General features: G+C 51.6%; 1 protein-coding gene across 3 annotated transcripts, besides 2 other annotated features; it reads right to left on the reverse strand.

The window, feature by feature from the left end:
- On the reverse strand, positions 86-23,559 carry HSD17B14 (hydroxysteroid 17-beta dehydrogenase 14). Of its 3 annotated transcripts, NM_016246.3 has the most exons (9): positions 23,392-23,559; positions 22,873-22,911; positions 21,344-21,426; positions 19,734-19,800; positions 18,736-18,827; positions 2,105-2,209; positions 731-798; positions 524-620; positions 86-416 (listed from the first exon to the last, which is right to left on the reverse strand). In NM_016246.3, the coding sequence occupies exons 1-9, from the start codon at positions 23,477-23,479 to the stop codon at positions 243-245; spliced, it is 813 nt and encodes a 270-aa protein (NP_057330.2). In that variant the 5' UTR covers positions 23,480-23,559; the 3' UTR covers positions 86-242. The 3 variants fall into 3 exon arrangements, with proteins under 3 accessions (NP_057330.2, XP_005259026.1, XP_047294853.1); XM_005258969.5 differs by lacking the exon at positions 524-620; XM_047438897.1 differs by lacking the exons at positions 86-416; positions 18,736-18,827 and having other exon boundaries at positions 528-620.
- Positions 328-939: an enhancer, noted in NCBI's record as "H3K4me1 hESC enhancer chr19:49316517-49317128 (GRCh37/hg19 assembly coordinates)". NCBI's record gives its function as "activates a minimal SCP1, AML or CMV promoter by ChIP-STARR-seq in primed H9 embryonic stem cells {active_cell/tissue: H9 hESC(primed)}" and the evidence as "EXISTENCE:reporter gene assay evidence [ECO:0000049][PMID:30033119]".
- Positions 6,496-7,016: a transcriptional cis regulatory region, noted in NCBI's record as "genic|chr19:49322685-49323205 region (GRCh37/hg19 assembly coordinates) targeted for CRISPR interference". NCBI's record gives its function as "negatively regulates FTL gene expression in K562 cells {active_cell/tissue: K562}" and the evidence as "EXISTENCE:mutant phenotype evidence [ECO:0000015][PMID:31784727]".

Below are 23,835 nucleotides of genomic sequence, written 5' to 3' on the forward strand. Positions count from 1 at the left end.
ACTTGTGGGTCTGGGGTGCAAGGGCTAAGTGGGGCAGAAGGACTCGTCTAAAGGATGGGAAATAAATATAACGATATCCTCCTCCTTCTGGCTGCAAATCGTTTTTATGGGAACCTGCAGGGTGACCCGGCACCTTGCTAACTGGGCTTAGAGTCTAAGGGCTTGGGGGCTGCATCTGATACAGGTTGGAGTTTGGGGTGGGAGAGTCCTAGGAAGGGGGCCCCAAGTAGAAATGAGAGAAATCAGGAAGGGATATCGGGGGCGTCCACGGGGGTGCTCCGACTGGCCTTGCACCCGTACCCCAGCTCTGCACCCCCCGTCACGAGCAGTTCAATGCCCGTGCAGAAGTTGGCTTCGGAGGCCAGGAACACTGCCGCAGCCCCGACCTCAGCGGGCTGGCCCATGCGGCCCAGTGGCTGGGGAGAAAAGAGGGGGGAAGGAGGTCAAGAGGAGCCCCACTTGATCGCCATGCCCCCCACCCCCATGCCACCTTCTACCACCTGGATCTGAACCCCACTTCTACCTGGGCCAGCATGCCCTCTCGGATTGTGGCCCTAGGGTCTGGCATTAAGGCTGCCAGCTCCTCCCACAGCGGGGTCCAGATGTTTCCTGGGGAGATACTAGAGGAAGGGAGAGGGGGGATCAAAGCAATCTGTCTCGAACCACTTGGGATCACTCCCAGTCACCCCAGTCCCCCCAGGAGGCTCTCCGCCTGCTCAGAGCAGCTCACCAGTTGACTCGGACACCATATGGACTTTCATCCAGGGCCAAAGCTTTGGTCATGGCTGTTACTGCCCCCTGCAGGAAATGGAGCGGGGAAGAAAGTTCAGTCCCCGGGACATGGGGTCCCTGCCATCCATTGTCTCCTGCCAGCCAGGGGGGCATCAGAATGGGGAAGTCATGCCCTCCTTGAAGGCTGCCTTCAGAGGCACCAGGCTTGGTTTCTTGGGAGAAACTTGGCATAGAAATCTGTCACAGGAAGGCCAGGTGCAGTGGCTCACACCTGTAATCCCAGCACTTTGGGAGGCCGGGATGGGTGGATCACTTGGGCCAGGAGTTCGAGACCAGCCTGGCCAACATGGCAAAACCCCATCTCTGCTAAAAATACAAAAATTAACCGGACATGGTGGTGCACGCCTGTAATCCCAGCTACTGGGGAGGCTGAGGCGTGAGAATCGCTTGAACCCATGAGGCAGGGGTTGCAGTGAGCTGAGATCATGCCACCACACTGCAACCTGGGTGACAGAGTGAGACCCTATCTAAAAAAAAAAAGAAGAAAAGAAAAGAAAAGAAAAAAAGAAAGTTAGCCGGGCACAGTGGCTCATGCCTGTAATCCCAGCACTTTGGGAGGCCGAGGTGGGTGGATCACCTGAGGTCGGGAGTTCGAGACCAGCCTGACCAACATGGTGAAATCTCGTCTCTACTAAAAAATACAAAAATCTAGCTGGGCGTGGTGACAGCCACCTGTAATCTCAGCTACTTGGGAGGCTGAGGCAGGAGAATCACTTGAACCCGGGAGGCGGAGGTTGCAGTGAGCCAAGATCACACCATTGCACTCCAACCTGGGCAATAAGAGCGAAACTCCATCTCAAAAAAAAAGAAAGAAAGAAAAGAAAAAACAGAAATCTGCTGGGTGCGGTGGCTCATGCCTGTAATCCCAGCACTTTGGGAGGCCAAGGCAGGCAGATCATGAAGTCAGAAGATCGAGACCATCCTGGCTAACATGGTGAAACCCCGTCTCTACTAAAAAATACAAAAAAAATTAGCTGGGTGCGGTGGCATGCGCCTGTAGTCCCAGCTACTCGGGAGGCTGAGTCAGGAGAATCCCTTGAACCCAGGAGGCAGAGGTTGCAGCTGAGATTGCACCACTGAACTCCAGCCTGGTGACAGAGCGAGACTCCATCTTTAAAAAAAAAAAAAGAAAAGAAAAGAAAAAACAGAAATCTGTCACAGGCAGTTATGCCTGGGTGCTGCATCTGGGAGTTAGGTGTGAGACTTTCTAGGGCCAAGATCTTGCTAGGTCTGGCTCCTAAGTTGTCTGGACTCAAAGCCAAGGCCCATGGGAAGGAGTAGGGAGGGAAGGAAGGGGTAGGGGCTGCCATACCTTGGTGGCCACATAGGGAACTGCCTGGGCCTGGCCGATTGCCCCCACCAGGCTGGAGATGTTGATGACATTCCCTTGACTCTTCCGCAGGTAGGGGAGGGCGAGCTAGGGAGACAAGAGGCCAAGTAAGCTACACAAGCCCTGCATCTTCGCAGACCACTGAAACACAGCCACAGCCATCCTGATGTCTGGGATGACGGCCACCTCCCTGGCATGTTTCTAGTTGATCTCAGTGACTGCTAGAGACGGCATCTAACATAACACCCTCTCTGGTTTGCCCTGGGGTCGCTGGGTCTCAGCACTCAAGGAGTCTCTCCTTGGTGGGAAGGGATTTCTCTCTCTTCTCCTCGGTCTCTGACTCTGTCTTTGTCTCTACCTCTGTCCCTTCTCCCTTGGTCTTTGTATGTTACTCAAATTCCTGTCCATATCAAGACAGGAAAATGGATGAGAGATCCAGAAGGCTGCATATTTTTCAAAAATGGGATGAAGTTATTTTCCGGTGAAGTCTCTGTGGCCCAGGCTGGACTGCAGTGGCACGATCATAGCTCACTGCAGCCTCGAACTCCTGGGCTCAAGCAATCCTCCCCGCTCGGCCTCCCAAAGTGTTGGGATTACAGGCACGAGGCATCACACCCAGCCAGGAAGTTCTTTTATCCATGGAGGGGGAGATGGTTTCTATGAGGCCTTCATGAAAGGCACTCTAGACCAGGCACAGTGTCTCACACCTGTAATCCCAGCACTTTGGGAGGCTGAGGTGGGTGGATCATCTGAGGTCAGAATTTTGAGACCAGCCTGGCCAACATGATGAAACCCCATCTCTACTAAAAATACAAAATTAGCCAGGCATGGTGGTGCATTCCTGTAATCTCAGCTACTTGGGAGGCTGAGGCAGGAGAACTACTTGAACCCGGGAGGTGGAGGTTGCAGTGAGCCAAGATTGCGCTACTGCACTCGAGCCTGGGCAACAGAGCAAGACTCCGTTTCAGAAAAAAAAAAAAAAAAAAAAAGAAATGCACTGTTTCCTGCCACCGTTTCTCCTGCAATTCAACTCCCTGGCCACCTGGGAAGTCCCTAAATACTCTCTCTGTGTGTGTGCGTGTGTGTTCGTTGACTACACATGACCTTGGATAAACTCAAATTCTATCTTTGATCTCGCTTGCCTTAGAAAGCTGAGCTGGCCAGGCAAGGCCTGTCCCTGCCACTTAAGACTAATTGGTACAAGGCAGCACCCCTAGCAGGCTCTCCGAGTGGGAATCTAAATGAGCTCCCTGCCCGGTTCCCCCCACCAACTCTTTCAAGCCATTTCTGCTCCCCTCCCAAACGACCTCCACCCTTTTCCGTGCTGTATCTTCGACACACCCTGCGTGTTCAAACCTCAGGGCCTTTGAACTTGCTGTTCCCTCTGCCTGGAGTGCCTTTTCCTAAGAGAGCCACATGACCCACTCTTAGGGTGGCCAGCCATCCCAGTTTGCCCAGGACTGAAGGGTTTTTGGGGACATGGTATTTTCAGTCCACAGTGTCAATGCTAAACGGGGACTTTCCTGGGTAAACACTCCCTCAGCTCCCTCAAACCCTGATCCGAGGTCACCTCCTCAGTGAGGTCTTCCCTGGCTATACTGTTTAAAGCTGCAAGCCAGGATCACTAGCTCACACCTGTAATCCTTGCACTTTGGGAAGCCGAGGAGGGAGGATTGCTTGAACCCAGGTGTTTGAGGCCAGCATGGGCAGCTTAGCAAGACCCTTTTTCTTTCTTTCTTTCTTTCTTTCTTTCTTTCTTTCTTTCTTTCTTTTCTTTCTCTCTCTCTCTCTCTTTCTTTCAGATAGGGTATCACTCTGTTGTCTAGGCTGGAATGCAGTGGTGCAATCTCAGCTCATTGCAACCTCCACTTCCCAGGTTCAAGCAATTCTCCTGCCTCGGCTTCCCGAGTAGCTGGGACTACAGGCATGTGCCCCCACACCAGGATAATTTTTTTTTTTTTTTTTTTTTTTTAGTGGAGACAGGGTTTCACTATATTAGCCAGGCTGGTCTCGAACTCCTGATCTCACATGATCTGCCTGGCTCGGCCTCCCAAAGTGCTGGGATTCCAGGCTTGAGCCACTGTGCCTGGCCTGTCTTTATTTTTTTTAACAACAAAAAAATATTTTTTGTTTTATTTTTTGAGACAGAGTCTCACTCTGTTGCCCAGGCTGGAGTGCAGTGATGTCATCTTGGCTCACTGCAACCTCCTCCCCCCAGGTTCAAGCCCTTCTCCTGCCTCAGTCTCCTGAGTAGCTGGGACTACAGGCATGTGTCACCATGCCTGGCTAATTTTTGTATTTTTTAGTAGAGATGGGGTTTCACCATGTTAGCCAGGCTGGTCTTGAACTCCTGAGGTCAAGTAATCTGCCTGCTTCGGCCTCCCAAAGTGCTGGGATTACAGGCGTCAGCCACCACGCCTGGCCCCAAAAAATAAAATAATAAAATAAAACTGCAGTTCCCACACCCCTGGGTCCCCTTCCCTCTTTCAGATGTCTTTTCTCTGTGTCACACACTCCCTTCTGACAGGCCATATATATTTTACTTGTTTGTTCATGTTCTGTCTCTCCCACCAGCATGCAGAAACCTATGAGGGATGGTCAAGATTTCTTATTTTGTTTCTTCCCCAGCACTAAAGGTGCCTGGCACATAGCACATGCTTCATAAATATCCTTTGAATGAATGAATGGGTGAATTAATGAATGAATGGAGGACCTGGTATGTGTCCAGCCCTGTCCTCAGCAATTTACATGGATTAGCTCATTTCATCCCTCTAACATTCTCCTGTACCTACAAGAAGGAGGTACAGCTGAGAGTCCCATTTCACAAGCGAGGAGACTAAGGAATGGAGGGATGATTGACGCCCGCAGGGCATCACGTGACACCTGACAGCACCAGCATTTGCTGCTGGACAGGCTGAGACCCAAACCCATAAACAAACAACAATTTCTCACAATTCTAAGTATTAAGAACTTTAGGCCAGGCACAGTGGCTCACACCTGTAATCCTAGAACTTTGGGAGGCTGAGGCGGGCAGTCACCTGAGGTCAGGAGTTCAAGACCAGACTGGTCAACATGGCAAAACCCCATCTCTACTAAAAATACAAAAATTAGCCGGGTGTGGTGGTGCGTGCCTGTAATCCCAGCTACTCGGGAGGCTGAGGCAGGAGAATCTCTTGATCCCGGGAGGCAGAGGTTGCAGTAAGCCACAATCGCACCACTGCACTCCAGCCTGGGCAGCAGATAAAGACTGTCTCAAAAAAAAAGAAAAAAGAAAAAAGAAAAAGAGAAACCATGCTCTAATATGAACGTGAATGATGTGGGCATTGACCAGCCTCTGCCCTCCTCCTCAGGGAACCTCTCATCCTCGCCTCCTCTCACTCCCACCAGCCGTGACACCCTCCCTCCCTCCCAGTGCCCACCCCACCTGCCTTGCTCCATTTCTCTCTCAGTCTGTGCACCTGCCCTGCTGTTTAATCTCCTCCCCCACCTGACCCTGCAAACATGAGTCTCACCAGGGCTGAGACACGGATCTTGCCACCCTCACCCCAGCACGAGGCACACAGCTGGAGCTCAGTAAATATTTGTCCCACACTCCCTGAGTGTCCTTCTCCCCACACCCCTCAAGGTTGCTAAGCACCTGCTCTATATCAAGGACCCGCTGGGGGCCAGGTGCAGTGGCAGGTACCTGTAATGTCAGTGCTTTGGGAGACTGAGGTGGGAGGATCGCTTCAGTCCAGAAGTTCAAGGCCAGCCTGGGCAACATACTGAGACCCCAGTTCTTAAGTGCCAAGGTTCTGAGACAGGAGCAGGCCTGTTGTGTTTGGGAGCAATGAGGCCAGTGTGGCCGGAGGTGAGGTCAGAGAAGAACAGGGGCCAGATCACGAGGCCTTGAAGGCCCCCACTTCTCCCTTGGACAAATGCAATCAACTCCTTTTTTTGTTTGTTTGTTTCAGAGACAGAGTATTGCTCTGTCACCCAGGCTTGAGTGCAGTGGCACGATCTCGGCTCACTGCAACCTCCACCTCCCAGGTTCAAGCAATTCTTCTGCCTCAGCCTCCCGAGTAGCTGGGATTACGGGCGCCTACCACCACGCCTGGCTAATTTTTGTATTTTTAGTAGCAACGGGGTTTCTCCATGTTGGCCAGACTGGTTTCGAACTCCTGACCTCAGGCAACCTGCCCACCTCGGCCTCCCAAAGTGCTGGGATTACAGGCGTGAGCCACCATGCCCAGCTCAAATGCAATCAACTCCTAATACTGGTTCTCCCACTCTCACGCTTAACCCTCAGATTTGTCCCTCATACCTACAGGAGCCAGAGCCTATGATCTGTTAATAATACTAACAGGATCACATCACTCCCTTGCTCAAATACCTGCCACAGCTCCCTATTGCTCTTGACATAAAGACCAGATGATTCAGCATGCCCTTCAAGGCCCTGCCTGATCTGGTTCCCACCCCAATCTCTTCTTGCAACATCCCGTTCTCTCACTGGGCCCAGCTGGCAGCAGCACCAAACCCTGTCTCGCTGCCAGGCCCTCGCCCTGCCATCTCTTTCTCCACCTCCTCCACTGGTCAATGCTGCTCAGATTTCATTACTTCCAGGAAGTTTGGCTACATTCCCTGAACGGGCCAGCCTCCAGGTCACACTCTCCCAGAACCACACCCATCCCCCTCATAAAGCAAAACACACTCTTCTGAACTCATGTCTCTGTTTAGGAAGACCTGGCTGCCCAGGACTGTAAACTCCCCAAGGACAGAGCCTACATGTACCTGGCTCCCTGCCCTATCTCCAGCACCTATAACACTGCCAGGGCCAGGTGTGGTGGCTCACGCCTGTAATCCCAGCATCTGGGGAGGCTGAAGTGGGAGGATCACTTGAGCCCAAGGAGTTTGAGACCAGTCTGGACAACATGGTGAGACTCCCTCGCAGCCATCTCAACAAAAATACAAAAATTAGCCAGGCATAGTGGTGTGCGTTTATGGTCCCAGGTTTTCGGGAGGCTGAGGTGGGAGGATTACTTGAGCCTGGTAGGTCAGGGCTTCAATGAACTATGATCACACCATGGCACTCCAGCATGGGCAACACAGCAAGACCCGATCTCTAACAAAAAACAAACCGAAAAAGAACGTTGCCTGAGGCTGGGTGCAGTGGCTCCCGCCTGTAATCCCAGCATTTTGGGAGGCCAAGGCAGGTGGATCACCTAAGGTCAAGAGTTCGAGACCAGCCTGACCAATATGGTGAAACCCTGTCTCTGCTAAAAATACATTAGCCAGGCGTGGTGGCACATACCTGTAATCCCAGCTACTTGGGAGGCTGAGACATGAGAACTGCTTGAACCTGGGAGGTGGAGATTGCAGTGAGCCGAGATTGCACCACTGCACTCCAGCCTGGGTGAAAGAGTGAGACACCATCTCCAAAATAAAAGAATGTTGCCTGGCTTGGTCAGTACTTGACTAAATAGAGGACTGAATGGATAGATTTTTTTTTTTTTTGAGATGGAGTCTCGCTCTGTCTTGCCCAGGCTGGAGTGCAGTGGCGCAATCTTGGCTCACTGCTACCTCCGCCTCCCAGGTTCAAGCAATTCTCCTGCCTCAGCCTCCCGAGTAGCTGGGATTACCACCATGCCCGGCTAATTTTTATAATTTTTTAGTATAGACAGGGTTTCGGCCGGGCGCAGTGGCTCACATCTGTAATCCCAGCTCTCAGGGAGGCAGAGGCGGGAGGATAGCTTGAGCCCAGGAGTTCGAGACCTGCCTGGGCAATATGGCGAGACCCCATTCTCCACAAAAAGTAAGAAAAAAAAAGACAAAAATAAAAAAAAATAAATAAGTAGAGACAGGTTTTCACCATATTGGCCAGGCTGGTCTCAAACCCCTGACCTTGTGATCTGCCTGCTTGGGCCTCCCAAAATGCTAGGATTACAGGCGTGAGCCACCCCACCCAGCCAGGATGGATAGATTTTTTTTTTTTTTTTTTTGACAGAGTCTCACTCTGTCACCCAGGCTGGAGTGCAGTGGCGCGATCTCAGCTTACTGCAACCTCTGCCTCCCAGGTTCACTCTATTCTCCCATCTCAGCCTCCTGAGTAGGTGGGACTACAGGCGCCCGCTACCACGCCCAGCTAATTTTTTGTATTTTTTAGTAGAGACGGGGTTTCACCATGTTAGCCAGGATGGTCTCGATCTCCCGACCTCGTGATCCACCCGCCTTGGCCTCCCAAAGTGCTGGGATTACAGGCATGAGCCACCGCGCCTGGCCTCAGAATGGATAGATCTTTAAGGAACAATCCAGCTCTGAGAGACTACAACTGAAACCCCTGTGTTCAACACCTTCTGTGGATCCCTACTGCCCACAAAATATAATTTCCTTGACTATCTAAATATCCTTAATCCCGCCCTTGTTTTCCCTAGCCTAGGGAGTCACAAACTTTGGCTTGTATCAGAATCCACCAGGAAGGCCAAAGACCTGGAGATTCTAATTCAAGGGATCTGGGCAGGGGCCCCAGAATCAACATTTAAAGAGCTTCCAAAGTCACGTGGCTGAGAGAGAAGAGAAAAAAAGAGAGCTTCTATGGGATTTTGATGGTGATGGTGATGATGGTGATGATAGTGATAATGATGATGATGGTGATGATGATAATGGTGGTCATGATGGTGATGGTGAGTATGGTGGTGATGAGGATGGTGATGGTGAGGATGGTGATGAGGATGATGATAAGGATGACGGTGAAGATGCTGATGATCGTAGTGATGATGATGGTGACGGTGATGGTGAAGATGGTGATGATGGTGAGGATGATGATGATAATGATAGTGATGATCATGATGGTGATTTTGGTAATGATGATGGTGATGATGATAATGGTGATGTTGGTGAGGATGGTGACGTGGTAATGATGGTTACGATTGTGGTAATGATGGTGATGATTGTGGTAATGGTGATGATGATGGTGATACTGGTGAGGATGGTGATGGTGGTGATGGTGATGATTGTGGTGATGATGGTGATGATTGTGGTAACAATGGTGATGGTGATGATGGTGGTGATGATGGTGGCAATGATGGTGATGCTGATGTTGATGGTGATGGTGATGATTGTGGTAATGACAGTGTTGATGGTGATGATGGTGGTAATGATGGTGATGATGATGATGGTGAGGTTGGGGATGGTAATGATGGTGGTGATGTTGGTGATGGTAAATTTTAGTAATGACGGTGGTGATGATGATGAGGATGGTGATGGTGGTGATGGTGATGATTGTGGCAATGATGGTGATGGTGATGATGGTGGTGATGATGGTGGCAATGATGGTGATGCTGATGTTGTTGATGGTGATGGTGATGATTGTGGTAATGATGGTGGTGATGATGGTGATGGTAATTGTAGTGATGGTGGTGATGATGGTGAGGATGGTGATGACGGTGGTAATGGTGATGGTGATGATTGTGGTAATGACGATGGTGATGGTGATGACTGTGGTAATGATGGTGGTGATGTTGGTGATGGTAAATTTTAGTAATGACAGTGGTGATGATGATGAGGATGGTGATGGTGATGATTGTGGTAATGATGATGGTGGTGATGGTGATGATGATTGTGGTAATGATGGTGATGATGATGGTGGTGATGATGGTGGCAATGATGGTGATGCTGTCATTGATGGTGATGCTGTCATTGATGGTGATGGTGATGATTGTGGTAATGACAGTGTTGATGGTGATGATGGTGGTAATGATGGTGACGATGATGATGGTGAGGTTGGGGATGGTAATGATGGTGGTGAAGATGGTGTTGATGGTGATGGTGGTGATGGTGAAAATGGTGATGGTGAGGATGACGGTGAGAATGATGGTGAGGGTGGTAACAATGGTAATGATGGTGATGGAAATAACGATGGTGATAATGGCAGCGACACAAGTGTTCACAAGATTCCTTTGCAACAAGTGCATGAACAAGCAGACAAAAGTCTTTGCCCTCAGGGAAAACAAAGGCAATATGCAAATGTTGTCGGGATCCTGGTGTGAACAAATCAGCTGTAATAAAACATTTGGGAACTTCTGGGTGTATTTAAATAGAGTTAAATATGAGATGGTATCAAGACATTTCTGTTAATTGTATTAGGTGATATAATGGTATTTTTGTTATGTAAAAAAGGCCTGAGCCTGGACAAAATGGTGAGACTCTGTCTCTACAAAAAAATAAAAGATTGGCTGGGCGTGGTGGTGCATGTCTGTTGTCCCAGCAACCTGAGAGGCTGAGGTAGGAGGATCACTTGAGCCTAGGAAGTCGGGACTGCAGTGAGCCATGATCATTTCACTGCACTCCAGCCTGGGTGACAGAGCAAGACACTATCTCAAAATAATAATAATAATAATGCTTTATTTTTAGGAGATGCTTACTAACGTGTTTGGAAATGAACTGTCATTGTGTCGTAATATACTTTATAATACTTTGACAAAAAGAAATATATACATTTATGTATATACAGACACATATATATGGTGTACAAAATGTGAATTAATGCTAATACAAATGATGGGCATATAGGTATTTATTATACTACTATATTTTTCTTTTCTTTTTTCTTTCTTTTTTTTTTTGAGACTGAGTCTTGCTCTGTTGCCCAGGCTGGAGTACAGTGGTGCAATTTCAGCCCACTGCAACCTCCACCTCCCTGGGTCCAAGTGATTCTCCTGCCTCAGCCTCCCGAGTAGCTGGGATTACAGGTATGCGCCACCCTGCCCCGCTAATTTTTTTTGTATTTTCAGTAGAGACGTGGTTTCACCATGTTAGCCAGGCTGGTCTTGAACTCCTGACCTCAGGCAATCCGCCCGCCTAGGCCTCCCAAAGTGCTGGGATTACAGGCATGAGCCACTGCATCCGGTCTATTTTTCTTTTTTAAAAATGTTTAACATTGAGGCCAGGCATGGTGGGTCACACCTGTAATCCCAGCACTTTGGGAGGCCGAGGCGGGCAGATCACTTGAGGTCAAGAGTTCAAGACCAGCCTGGCCAACATGGTGAAACCCTGTCTCTCCTAAAAATACAAAAATTAGCCGGGCATGGTGGTACATGTCTGTAGTCCAGCTACTTGGTAGGCTGAGGCAGGAGAATGGCTTGAACCCAGGAAGGCAGAGGTTGCAGTGAGCCAAGATCATGCCATTGCACTCCAGCCTGGGCAACATAGCAAGACCTCCTCTCTACTGAAACTAAAAAAAAAAAAAATTAGTCGGGTGCTGTGGCATGTATCTGTAGTCCCAGCTACTCGGCGGGCTGAGAGGATGAGGTGGGAGGATCCCTTGAGCCCAAGAGTTCAAGGCTGCAGTGAGCTGTGATGGCACCACTGCTCACCAGCTGGGAAGACAAGGAAAGGAGGAAAGAAGGAAAGAAAAAAGGGAGGGAGGGAGGAAGGAAGAAAGAGAGAAAGAAAGAAAGGGCCGGGCGCAGTGGCTCACACCTGTAATCCCAGCACTTTGGGAGGCTGAAGCAGGCGGATCACGAGGTCAGGAGATTGAGATCATCCTGGCCAACATGGTGAAACCCTGCCTCTACTAAAAAAAAAATTAGCCCGGTGTAGTGGTGCGTGCCTGTAATCCCAGCTACTCGGGAGGCTGAGGCAGGAGAATAGCTTGAACCCGGGAGGCAGAGATTGCAGTGAGCTGAGATCGTGTCACTGCATGCCAGCCTGGCGACAGAGCAAGACTCTAAAGAAAGACAAAAAAAAAAAGAAAGAAAGAAAGAAAGAAAAGAAAAGAACAATGGGGAGTTTCAGTACACATGAATTATCTGTACTATTCTAGGAATATTTTGTAAGTCTTAAATTATGTCAAAATAAAAATAAAAAGCATTCTAATACACTGGTGGTATGGTACGCATGAAGTTCCTACTGATAAAATTGTATGATCTGGGCTGGGTGCGGTGGCTCACGCCTCCCAGCACTTTGGGAGGCCGAGGCAGGCGGATCACTTGAGGTCAGGAGTTCCAGACCAGCCTGGCCAACATGATGAAACCTCATCTCTACTAAAAATACAAAAATTAGCCAGGTGTGGTGGCGTGTGCCTGTAGTCCCAGCTATTTGGGAGGGTGAGGCAGGAGAATCACTTGAACCCAGCAGGTGGAGGTTGCCATGAGCTGAGATGGTGCCACTGCACTCCAGCCTGGGCGATAGAGCGAGACTCCGTCGCAAAAAAAAAAAAAAAAAAAATTGTATGATCTGGGTGGTGGTGGGGGGCAGGAGTCAACGGGTAGAGCAAGTTATTCTTGCTTTGTTTTGTTTGAGACAAGTTCTTACTCTGTTGCCCAGGCTGGAATGCAGCGGCACAATCATAGCTCACTACAGCCTCAACCTCCTGGGCTCAAGTGATCCTCCTCAGCCTCTTGAGTAGCTGCGACTACAGATGTGTGCCACCCTATCTGGCTAATTTTGTTTATTTTTGGTTGAGATGGGGTCTGGTGCTATGTTGCCCAGGCTGGTCTTGAGCTCCTGAGCTCAAGTGATTTTCCCACCTCAGCCTCCCGAAGTGCTGAGATTGCAGCATGATAAATATTGATAAGAGTTTCATGGGTATTTAATCTAATCTCATTAAATCCTCAGAACAACTCTGTCACAATTGGCCCCATTTCACAGGTGAGAAAACAGAGGAGCAGAAATGTTGCGTAACTTGCATGACGTTGCAGGTAAGAAGTGGCAGAGAATTTAGGCAAACAAGCCACTTGTTATTTCTGCCTCCCTGCCCCGCAGGTCCTGTTGACCAACTTGACCAACTTTATTTATTTATTTATTTTGAGATGGAGTCTTGCTCTGTCACCCAGGCTGGAGTGCAGTGGCGCGATCTCGGCTCACTGCAAGCTCCGCCTCCTGGGTTCACGCCATTCTCCCACCTCAGCCTCCCGAGTAGCTGGGACTACAGGCACCCGCCACCGCGCACAGCTATTTTTTTGTATTTTTAGTAGAGATGGGGTTTCACCGTGTTAGCCAGGATGGTCTCGATCTCCTGACCTCGGGATCCGCCCGCCTCAGCCTCCCAAAGTGCTGGGATTACAGGCGTGAGCCACCGTGCCCAGCCCAACTTGACCAACTTTCTAAGAGAAACAAGAAATGTGGTGGTTTATGTGAAATCTGCCTTGTGAAATGTTGGCAATGAATGAAAAAAGATAGGCCGGACATGGTGGCTTACGCCTGTAATCCGAGCACTTTGGGTGGCCGAGGCAGGCAGACCGCTATAGCTCAGGAGTTTGAGACCTGCCTGAACAACATAGTGAGACCCCCAACTCTACAAAAAATACAAAAATCAGCTGGGCGTAGTGGTGGGCACCTGTAGTCTCAGGTCCTCGGGAGGCTGAGGCAGGAGAATTTATTGAGCCCAGGTAGTCAAGGTTGTGGTGAGCCGAGATCCTGCCACTGCACTCCAGCCTGGGTGATGGAGCAAGATTGTCTCAAAAAAAAAAAAAAAAAAAGTAAAAGAAAAGAAGAAAATATATATATATATACACACACACACACACACACACACACACACACATATATTAACTCTTCATGGGCTGAGGTGTAGGTGTGTTTTATGTGTGGAGGTGTTTTTAGTGTTGGGTTAATCCTAGAAAGTCAACACAAATTTGGAACAGGAGCCAGGGTTCACTGGTTAAGCAGGGGATTGCCCAACCTCCCGGGAACATTTCACCTGGATCTTGGATGCGACCTCAGAGTCAGCACCTGAAGCTCCCTGGACACTGGGCCCGCCCCCAGGCCTCTCCCCTCTTTGCCTACTCTTGCTCCCCTGAGTTCCTCCAGCCTCAAACTGGTCAGCTGCAAGCTGGTATCTCCAGAGCCCCACCTCCACGATCTCATGCCCAATGCCCATTCCCACCAGGACGTCCACCAGGCAGTTCATGTTCAACAGCGCCCCCGCCAGGCTTTCCTGCCACAGTGAATGGCAGCTCTGTCCGGTCAGTTGCTCAGTTGCTGGAGGTGGGGAGAACAAACCTAAAACCCCACTTTTTTTTTTTTTTTGAGATGGAGTCTCGCTCTGTCGCCCAGGCTGGAGTGCAGTGGTGTGATCTCAGCTCACCTCAACCTCTGCCTCCTGGGTTCATGAGATTGTCCTGCCTCAGCCTCATAAGAAGCTGGGATTACAGGCGCCCACCACCACGCCTGGCTAATTTTTGTATTTTTAGTAGAGACGGAGTTTCACCATGTTGGCCAGGCTGGTCTCGAACTCCTGACCTCATGATCTGCCCGCCTTAGCCTCCCAAAGTGCTGGGATTACAAAGACATGAGCCACCGTGCCTGGCAAGGACAGGGATTTTCTTCTGTTGTGTGTTCATAGCTGTATGCGCAGGGCTCCGCATGTTGCTGGTGCTATATAACTATTTGTTGAGTTAATTAATTAAAAAGTGCTATGCGGAGAATAAAGATGTTATGGAGAGTGGATGTTTGTGTGCAGCTGTTGCATAAGCAAGGGTGAGGGAAAGGCTTTGATGTGTGTTCTTCTCCTTCGTTTTTTTTTAGATAGAGTCTTGCTCTGTTGCCCAGGCTGGAGTGCAGTGGTGCAATCTCAGCTCACTGCAACCTCCATCTCCCAGGTTCCAGCAATTCTCCTGCCTCAGCCTCACGAGGAATTGGGATTACAGGTGCTCACCACCATGCCCAGCTAATTTTTTGTGTATTTTTAGTAGAGACGGGGTCTCACCATATTGGACAGGCTGGTCTTGAACTCCTGATGAGTGATCCACCCGCCTTGGCATCCCAAAGTGCTGGGATTACAGGTGTGAGCCACCGTGACCAACCCTTCTCCTTCCTTTTTTTTTTCTTTTTTTTTTTTTGAGACGGAGTCTCGCTCTATTGCCCAGGCTGGAGTGCAGTGATGCAATCTCGGCTCACTGCAACCTCCGCCTCCCGGGTTCACGCCATTCTCCTGCCTCAGCCTCCCAAGTAGCTGGGACTACAGGAGCCCGCCACCGCGCCCAGCTAATTTTTTGTATTTTTAGTAGAGACGGGGTTTCACCGCGTTAGCCAAGATGGTCTCGATCTCCTGACCTCGTGATCCGCCGGCCTCGGCCTCCCAAAGTGCTGGGATTACAGGCATGAGGTGCCGCGCCCGGCCAAAGGCTCAACTTTTTAAAGAAAAAAGGACGAATCAAGAGAGGCGGTGATTACAAAAGTTGTTCATCAGGAATTGTCATTGGTTTACAGACATCACATTGATTAGTGATTGGCTATACATGTTTGAACTATAGAGTGTGTGACACTCTAGAGCTACTTGGTATCAGGTCGTCTAGAGTCCAGAAACCAAGTAGCCTCAAAAGGTAATTATTGGATGGGTGCAGTAGCTCATGCCTGTAATCCCAGCTTGAGGCAAGGAGTTCGAGACCAGCCTGAGCAGCATAGAAAGACCCTGTCTCTACAAAAAAGTTAAAAATTAGTCAGTCATAGTGGTGCACCCCTGTGGTCCCAGCTGCTCAGGAGGCTGATACAAGAGGATCACTTGAGCCCAGGGGTTCGAGGCTGCTGTGAGCTATGATGGTACTCCAGCCTGGGCAACAGAGTGAGTCCCTGTCTCAAAAAGTAATTAAAATACATTTTTATAAAGTCCCTCTGAGCCAGGTGCGGTGGCTCACACCTGTAATCCCAGGAGTTTGAAAGGCTGAGGCAGGAGAATCACTTGAGCCCAAGAGTTTGAGACCAGCCTGGACAACATAGTGAAACCCCACCTCTATTAAAAAATAAAAAGGCCAGGCACAGTGGCTCATGCCTGTAATCCCAGCACTTTGGGAGGCTGAGGTGGGTGGATCACGGGGTCAGGAGTTCAAGACCAGCCTGGCCAACATGGTGAAACCTCGTCTCTACTAAAAATACAAAAAAATTAGCCAGGCGTGGTGGTGAGTGCCTATAATCCCAGCCACTAGGGAGGCTGAGGCAGAGAATTGCTTAAACCTGGGAGGCAGAGGTTGCAGTGAGCCGAGATTGTGCCACTGTACTCCAGCCTGGGTGACAGAGTAAGACTCTGTCTCAAAAAATAAATTAATTAATTTTTAAAAAAGTTGTTAAAAAGCCCCTCTGGGCCTGATCCTGATCATCTAAAGGGGCTCTCCTTTCTCAGATAAAAAAGTTTGTTTTCTTTCTCATTCCCTCCCCAGCTCTCCCCCAATTCTTGTTTAAGACAAGGACTCGCTCTGTTGCCCAGGCTGGAGTGCAGTGGCACAATCACGGCTCACTGCAGCCTCCAGCTCCCAGGTTGAAGTGATCCTCTCACCTCAGCCTCCCGTGTAGCTGGGATTACAGGAGCACCACCATACTCAGCTAATTTTTTTTTTTTTTCTGAGAAAGAGTTTCACTCTGTCACCCAGGCTGGAGTGTAGTGGCACAATCTCAGCTCACTGCAACCTCCACCTCCCAGGTTCAAGCAATTCTACCGCCTCAGCCTCTTGAGTAGCTGGGATTACAGGCACCTGCCACCACGCACAGCTAATTTTTGTATTTTTAGTAGAGATGGGGTTTCACCATGTTGGACTCCTGACCTCAAGTGATCTGTCCGCCTTGGCCTCCCAAAGTGCCAGGATTACAGGCATGAGCTACCAGGCCTGGCTTTTTTTTTTTTTTTTTTTTTTGTGAGACGGAGTTTCCGCTCTTATTGCCCAGGCTGGAGTGCAATGGCACGATCTCAGCTCACTGCAACCTCTGCCTCCCAGGTTCAAGTGATTCTCCTGCCTCAGCCTCCTGAGTAGCTGGGATTATAGGCATGTGCCACCACACCCGGCTAATTTTGTATTTTTAATAGAGATGGGGTTTCTCCATGTTGGTCAGGCTGGTCTCAAACTCCCGACCTCAGGTGATCCGCCTGCCTCGGCCTCCCAAAGTGCTGGGATTACAGGCGTAAGCCACCATGCCTGGACTCCATGCTCTTTTTAAAAATTAATTAATGAATTATTTTTTTTTTGAGACAAGGTCTCACTCTGTCACCTAGGCTGGAGTGCAGTTGCACGATCTCAGCTCACTGCAACCTCCGCCTCCTGGGCTCAAGCTGTGATACCCTAACCTTGTTTTAACCTGAATTGACTCTCCCTTAGGTGAGCGAGCCAGACAGACTCCATCCTGGCTCCTTCACTTGCAGCCCCTTAACCCAACCCCCCTTTCTTCAAGGACTTAACTTGTGCAAGCTGACTCCCAGCACATCAAAGAATGCAATTACTGATAAGATACTGTGGCAAGTTATATCCGCAGTTCCCAGGCAGTCGCCCGATTAATAGTACCCTAAGCCCCCGCGTTTCTGTCTGGTTGATAGCGCCCAACGTCCAGCGTCTATCACCTTGGGATGTGTTTAAAGCCCCTGCACCTGGAACTGTCTGCTTTCCTGTAACCATTTATCTTTCTAACTTTTTTTGCCTGCTTTACTTCTGTAAGATTGTTTTAACTAGACTCCCCCCTCCCCTTTCTAAACCAAAGTATAAAAGAAAATCTAGCCCCTTCTTCGGGGCCGAGAGAATTTTGAGCGCTAGCCGTCTCTGGGCTGCCGGCTAATAAAGGACTCCTGATCTTGTCTCAGAGTGTGGCGTTTCTCTATAACTCGCTCGGTTACAACAAAGCAATCCTCCCGCCTCAGCCTCCCAAGTACCTGAGGCGCACCACCATGCTCAGGTAATTTCCGTATTTTTTGTAGAGACGAGGGTTTCACTATGTTGCCCAGGCTAGTCTCGAATTCCTGGGCTTAAGGGATCCTCTTGCCTCGGCCTCCCAAAGTGCTGGGATTACAGCTGTGAGCTACTGGACCTGGCCTATTTATTTATTTATTTATTTATTTATTTATTTTTGAGACAGCATCTTGCAATGTTGCCCAGGCTGTATGCAGTGGTGTGTACATAGCTCATGGCAGCCTTGACTTCCTGGGCTCAAACGATCCTCCCACCTCAGCCACCTGAGTAGCTGGGACTACAAGGGCACCACTACGCCTAATTTTTTAAACTTTTTGTAGAGATGGGGGGTTTCGCTGTATTGCCCCAGCTGTCTTGAACTCCTGACCTCAAGTGAACCTCCCACAAGGACCTCCCAAAGCACTGGGATTAAAGGTGTGAGCCACTGTGTCTGGCCCCAATATGTTCTTAACATCCCCTCCTACCACCACCAGTCTGGAAGGTTCTAGAAGGTTCCTAAGACTGGGCTATGTAGCTACAAAGGTAGATTTGCTGGATGTAGAGATTCGCAGTCATTTATCTTCCTTTTGGAATAAGGAGATTAAACTAAATAACAGAAAATAGATGGCCAGGCGTGGTGACTCAAGTCTGTAATCCCAGCACTTTGGAAGGCCAAGGCAGGCAGATCACTTGCAGTCAGAAGCATAGCTACCAAAAATTATGAAATTTAGCTGGTTTTGTGGCCCGCACCTGTAATCCCAGTTACTCAGGAGGCTGAGGCACGAGAATCGCTTGAACCCAGGAGGTGGAGGTTGCAGTGAGCTGAGATCACACCACTGTCCTCCAGCCTGGGCGACAGAGAGAGACCCTGTCTCCAACAAACAAACAAATAAAAAGAACGGAAAACATTTTGCTCTTAGACAAAATGCATCACACAATCCACCTATCAGGAGGCTGCTCGGGCCTGGCGGCAGGGTCGCCAGCCCTCACCTTGGTCAAGGTGTACGTCCCCAGTAGGTTCAGCTCCAGCAGCTGGCGGAATCCCTGGGCAGAGGTCTCCTCAGGCCTCTGTGGGGGTGGGTCTAAAGTGGGGGGTGAGAGAGAGAGGAAAAGTGACGGGGGCTGGACACAGTTGCCCACGCCTGTAATCCCAGCACTTTGGGAGGCTGAGGCAGGCGGATCATGAGGTCAGGAGTTCAAGACCAACCTGGCTGACAGGGCAAAACCCTGTCTCTACGAAAAATACAAAAATTAGCTGGGTGTGGTGGCGGGTGCCTATATTCCCAGCTACTCAGGAGGCTGAGGCAGGAGAATTGCTTGAACCTGGGAGGTGCAGGTTGCAGTGAGCCTAGATCGAGCCACTGCACTCCAGCCTGGGCGACAGAGTGAGACCCCATCTCAGAAAAAAAAAAAAAAAAAAAGCCGGGTGCAGTGGCTCATGCCTGTAATCCCAGCATTTGGGGAGGCCGAGGTGGGCAGATCATCTGAGGTCAGGAGTTCAAGACCAGCCTGGCTAACATGATGAACCCCATCTCTACTAAAAATATAAAAATTAGCCTGGCGTGCTGGTGGGCGCCTGTAATCCCAGCTACTTGGGAGGCTGAGGCAGGAGAATCGCTTGAACCCAAGAGGCAGAGGTTGCAGTGAGCTGAGATCACACCACTGCACTCCAGCCTGGACGACAGAGTGCGACTCCATCTGAAAAAAAAAGAAAAGAAAGAAGAGAAGAGAAGAAAAAAGAAAAGAAAAGAAGAGAGACATGGCCAAGTGAGGGCACAGCCCTGGGGACACACAGGAGGGATGGAACAGGGCCACAGTTTCAGCACAGGCCTGGGGGGCTTCCATTGCTTTACTCTCCTGTCCAAGTGGCTAGAAAGAGGTATGAGGCAGGATGAGGGAATCAGGGGCAGGGAGTGGGGAAACTGACGTGCAGGAAACAGAGTTGGGGGGCAGGAGGTGGAGAATGGCCCTGGGGTCTCACAACTCACGGTGGCCAGCGTTGTTGACAACACAATCCAGGCGGCCAAATCGGCGGATGGTCTCAGAAACCAGGGTCTGAGGAGAAAGGAAATGTCCTTTGTTTTTTTTTTTTGGAGACGGTGTCTCCCTCTTGTCACTCAGGCTGGAGTGCATTGGCACGATCTTGGCTCACTGCAACTTCAGCCTCCTGCGTTCAAGCAACTCTCCTACCTCAGCCTCCCAAGTAGCTGGGATTACAGGCGACTGCCACCACGCCCGGCTAATTTTTGTACTTTTTAGTAGAGACAGGGATTCACTAGGTTAGCCAGGCTGGTCTCAAACTCCTGAGCTCAAGTGATCCACCCGCCTCAGCCTCCCAAAGTGCTGGAATTACAGGTACCACGCCCAGCCCAGGAAATGTCCTTTGAATGAGCAGTAGATGGGGTGTCCAGCCATAAAGAAGACAGGGCTCCCAAATGCAAGGCAGGAGGGGGAAGCTGAACTCCCAGGTCAGGGGACAAGAGCTAGAGGAAGAGGGGACTCCGAGATCAGCAGACACAGCAGGCAAGCAGGAGACAGGAAGGAGACAGGGGGCTGGTCAGAGCCACACTGCAGTCGTCACACCCAGGGTCAGGGGGTGGGGCAGGGGGGTGACAAGGATTCAGAGAGCGCGTAGGGGACAGTTGCCCAAGGGGGGCAGATAACAGAGAGATACTGATTAAAAGGAAGAAATAGGAACCCAGAAATAATGGAGAAAAAATCAGTTACATACAGGCCACGTGCAGTGGCTCACACCTGTAATCCCAACACTTTGGGAGGCTGAGGTGGGCGGATCACCTGAGGTCAGGAGTTCGAGACCAGCCTGGCCAACATGGTGAAACCCTGTCTCTACTAAAACTACAAAAATTAGCCAGACACGGTGGCTCATGCTTGTAATCCCAGCACTTTGGGAGGCTGAGGCGGGCGGATCATCTGAGGTTGGGAGTTCGAGACCAGCCTGACCAACATGGAGAAACACCGTCTCTACTAAAAATACAAAATTAGCCAGGTGTGGTGGCACATGCCTGAAATCTCAGCTACTCGGGAGGCTGAGAGAGGAGAATCACTTGAAGCTGGGAGGCAGAGGTTGCGGTGAGCCGAGATCACACCATTGCACTCCAGCCTGGGCAACAGGAGCGAAACTCTGTCTTAAAAAAAAAAAAAATTAGCCGGGCATGGTGGCGCACACCTGTAATCCCAGCTACTCGGGAGGCTGAGATAGGAGAATGGCTTGAACTCGGTAGGCTGAGGTTGCAGTGAGCCGAGATCACACCACTGCACTCCAGCCTCAGTGACACTTACAAAAAAAAGAGACAGAAAAATCAGTTCCAGTTGACCCACTTTGAGGGACTTATTCATTTCCATCCACATGTTAAATGTGCTAAGAGCCTTGGAGAGGTGTGACAGAAGGAACATGTGACCTGCCCATCAGTCACAGAAGACCTTGTGTGTGGAGTGACACTGGGTGGAAACCTTTGACGAGTCCAGCGGAGCCAGGAGAGGAAGGAAAAGTAGAGGGAAAGGCATATGCAAATGGCTGGAGGAGAACAAAGAACTGGTCATTAGCGGAGATGGGGGTAGGAACAGGAACTCGGCTTACCTTCACATCATCTTCCTGAGTCACATCACAGAGGATAAAGACAGCTCCAGGGAGCTCCTGCTCCAGGGCCCGGCCCCCAGACTCTGCAGGGAGAGAAGAGCTGGGAGCCTGGACCCCTGGGTCTCAGGGAGGAGGGGTTGGGGACTTGGACTCCTGGGTCTGAGGGAGGAGGTGCTGGGGGCCTGGACTCCTGGGTCTGAGGGAGGAGGGGCTGAGGTCTGGACTCCTGGGTCTGAGGAAGTAGGGCCTGGGGGCCTGGACTCCTGGGTCTGAGGGAGGAAGGGCTGGGAGCCTGGACTCCTGGGTCCGAGGAAGTAGGGCCTGGGGGCCTGGACTCCTGGGTCTGAGGGAGGAAGGGCTGGGAGCCTGGACTCCTGGGTCCGAGGAAGTAGGGCCTGGGGGCCTGGACTCCTGGGTCTGAGGGAGGAAGGGCTGGGAGCCTGGACTCCTGGGTCTGAGGGAGGAGGGGCTGGGAGCCTGGACTCCTGGGTCTGAGGGAGGAGGGGCTGGGAGCCTGGACTCCTGGGTCTGAGGGAGGAGGGGCTGGGGGCCTGGACTCCTGGGTCTGAGGGAGGAGGGGCTGAGGTCTGGACTCCTGGGTCCGAGGAAGTAGGGCCTGGGGGCCTGGACTCCTGGGTCTGAGGGAGGAAGGGCTGGGAGCCTGGACTCCTGGGTCTGAGGGAGGAGGGGCTGGGGGCCTGGACTCCTGGGTCTGAGGGAGGAGGGGCTGAGGTCTGGACTCCTGGGTCCGAGGAAGTAGGGCCTGGGGGCCTGGACTCCTGGGTCTGAGGGAGGAGGTGCTGGGAGCCTGGACTCCTGGGTCTGAGGGAGGAGGGGCTGGGGGCCTGGACTCCTGGGTCTGAGGGAGGAGGGGCTGAGGTCTGGACTCCTGGGTCCGAGGAAGTAGGGCCTGGGGGCCTGGACTCCTGGGTCTGAGGGAGGAGGTGCTGGGAGCCTGGACTCCTGGGTCTGAGGGAGGAGGGGCTGGGGGCCTGGACTCCTGGGTCTGAGGGAGGAGGGGATGGGGGCCTGGACTCCTGGGTCTGAGGGAGGAGGGGCTGGGAGCCTGGACTCCTGGGTCTGAGGGAGGAGGGGCTGAGGTCTGGACTCCTGGGTCTGAGAAAGTAGGGCCTGGGGGCCTGGACTCCTGGGTCTGAGGGAGGAGGTGCCAGAGCCTGGACTCCTGGGTCTGAGGGAAGAGGGGCTGGGAGCCTGGACCCCTGGGTCTGAAGGAGGAGGGGTTGGGGACTTGGATTCCTGGGTCTGAGGGAGGAGGTGCCGGAGCCTGGACTTCTGGGTCTGAGGGAGGAGGGGCTGGGGACCTGGACTCCTGGGTCTGAGGGCAGAGGGGCTGGGGGCCTGGACTCCTAGGTCTGAGGGAGGAGGGGCTGAGGTCTGGACTCCTGGGTCTGAGGAAGTAGGGCCTGGGGGCCTGGACTCCGGGGTCTGAGGGAGGAGGTGCTAGGGGTCTGGACCTCTGGGTCTGAGGGAGGAAGGGCCAAGGTGAGGGCTGAGGGACCGTCACTCACCATCCTTGTCGCAGATAACCACTCGGGCCCCGCTGTTCACTGAGAATAGGAAGGGAACAGGTTACTCTCCGAGCCTTGGTTAAAGCCTCTGCCGCCCTCTTGTGGCCACCTGGATTGGGGCTGATCTCCCTCTCCCCTCGTGACCCCAGTCTCATGATCACCCATAGGACAGAGGGCAGACGCCTTGACACATACTCTCCTTGCCTTGTTTCTGCTGAGGCTCCTGAACCCCCGTTCGTGGCTTCCGGAGCAAACTCCACGACTGACAGAGCCATTCCTCAAACCACTGGTTTTGTAGCTACACCAACAGACCCAGAGAAAGGGGCCACTGCCTTCGGAGACCCTGCCAGACTCAGCCCTAGCCTACAGCGCCACACGCTTACTTTAGCCTGCAAATTGGCTTTTATAATATCAGAATCCTGGCTGCAGTACTGGAGTCCCTATTTTCCGCCCCCATCACCCCGCCCCCATCCTTCCTTTCTCACACTCCACAGCTCCCAGCAGTCAGACCCGGCTCACCGAAGGCGCGCACGATCCCAGCTCCGATGCCGCGCCCGCCCCCGGTCACGACCACCACCTTCCCGGCATAGCGCGTTCCCGTAGCCATCCCGTGTACGTCGGTCTCTCTCTCTCTCTACTCTGGGCCTCTTTCACCTCCAAAGCCCCGTGAGGCCGTCGCATCAAATCCTCAATAGAGGCTGGATCCTGGAAGTCCGGCCTCGGGGGGCGTTGCCAGGAAGGCTAGAGACCTGGAAGTTTGTCCCCAGCCCCTCCTCCCTCAGACACTCCTCTCTTCCCACAGACCCAGGAATCCAGGAGCCCCAGTCCCTCCTCCCACAGACCCAGGAATCCAGAAGCCTCAGTCCCTCCTCCCTCAGACTCGGGAGTCCAGGCCCCCAGCCCCTCCTCCCTCAGACTCGGGAGTCCAGCCTCCCAGCCCCTCCTCCCTCAGACCCGGGAGTC

The sequence above is a fragment of the Homo sapiens genome, chromosome 19 (assembly GCF_000001405.40).
Source record: "Homo sapiens chromosome 19, GRCh38.p14 Primary Assembly".
Lineage (NCBI taxonomy): Eukaryota > Metazoa > Chordata > Mammalia > Primates > Hominidae > Homo > Homo sapiens.

What these genes read in the sequence shown, in the direction of transcription:
- HSD17B14 (NM_016246.3), bottom strand. Translation starts at nt 23,479, where the DNA reads ATGGCTACGGGAACGCGCTATGCCGGGAAGGTGGTGGTCGTGACCGGG. An exon ending in CTCAGGAAGATGATGTGAAG is followed by an intron (nt 19,801 to 21,343) that starts GTAAGCCGAGTT and finishes CTTTCTCCTCAG; the next exon opens with ACCCTGGTTTCTGAGACCAT. An exon ending in GAGAGGGCATGCTGGCCCAG is followed by an intron (nt 417 to 523) that starts GTAGAAGTGGGG and finishes TTTTCTCCCCAG; the next exon opens with CCACTGGGCCGCATGGGCCA.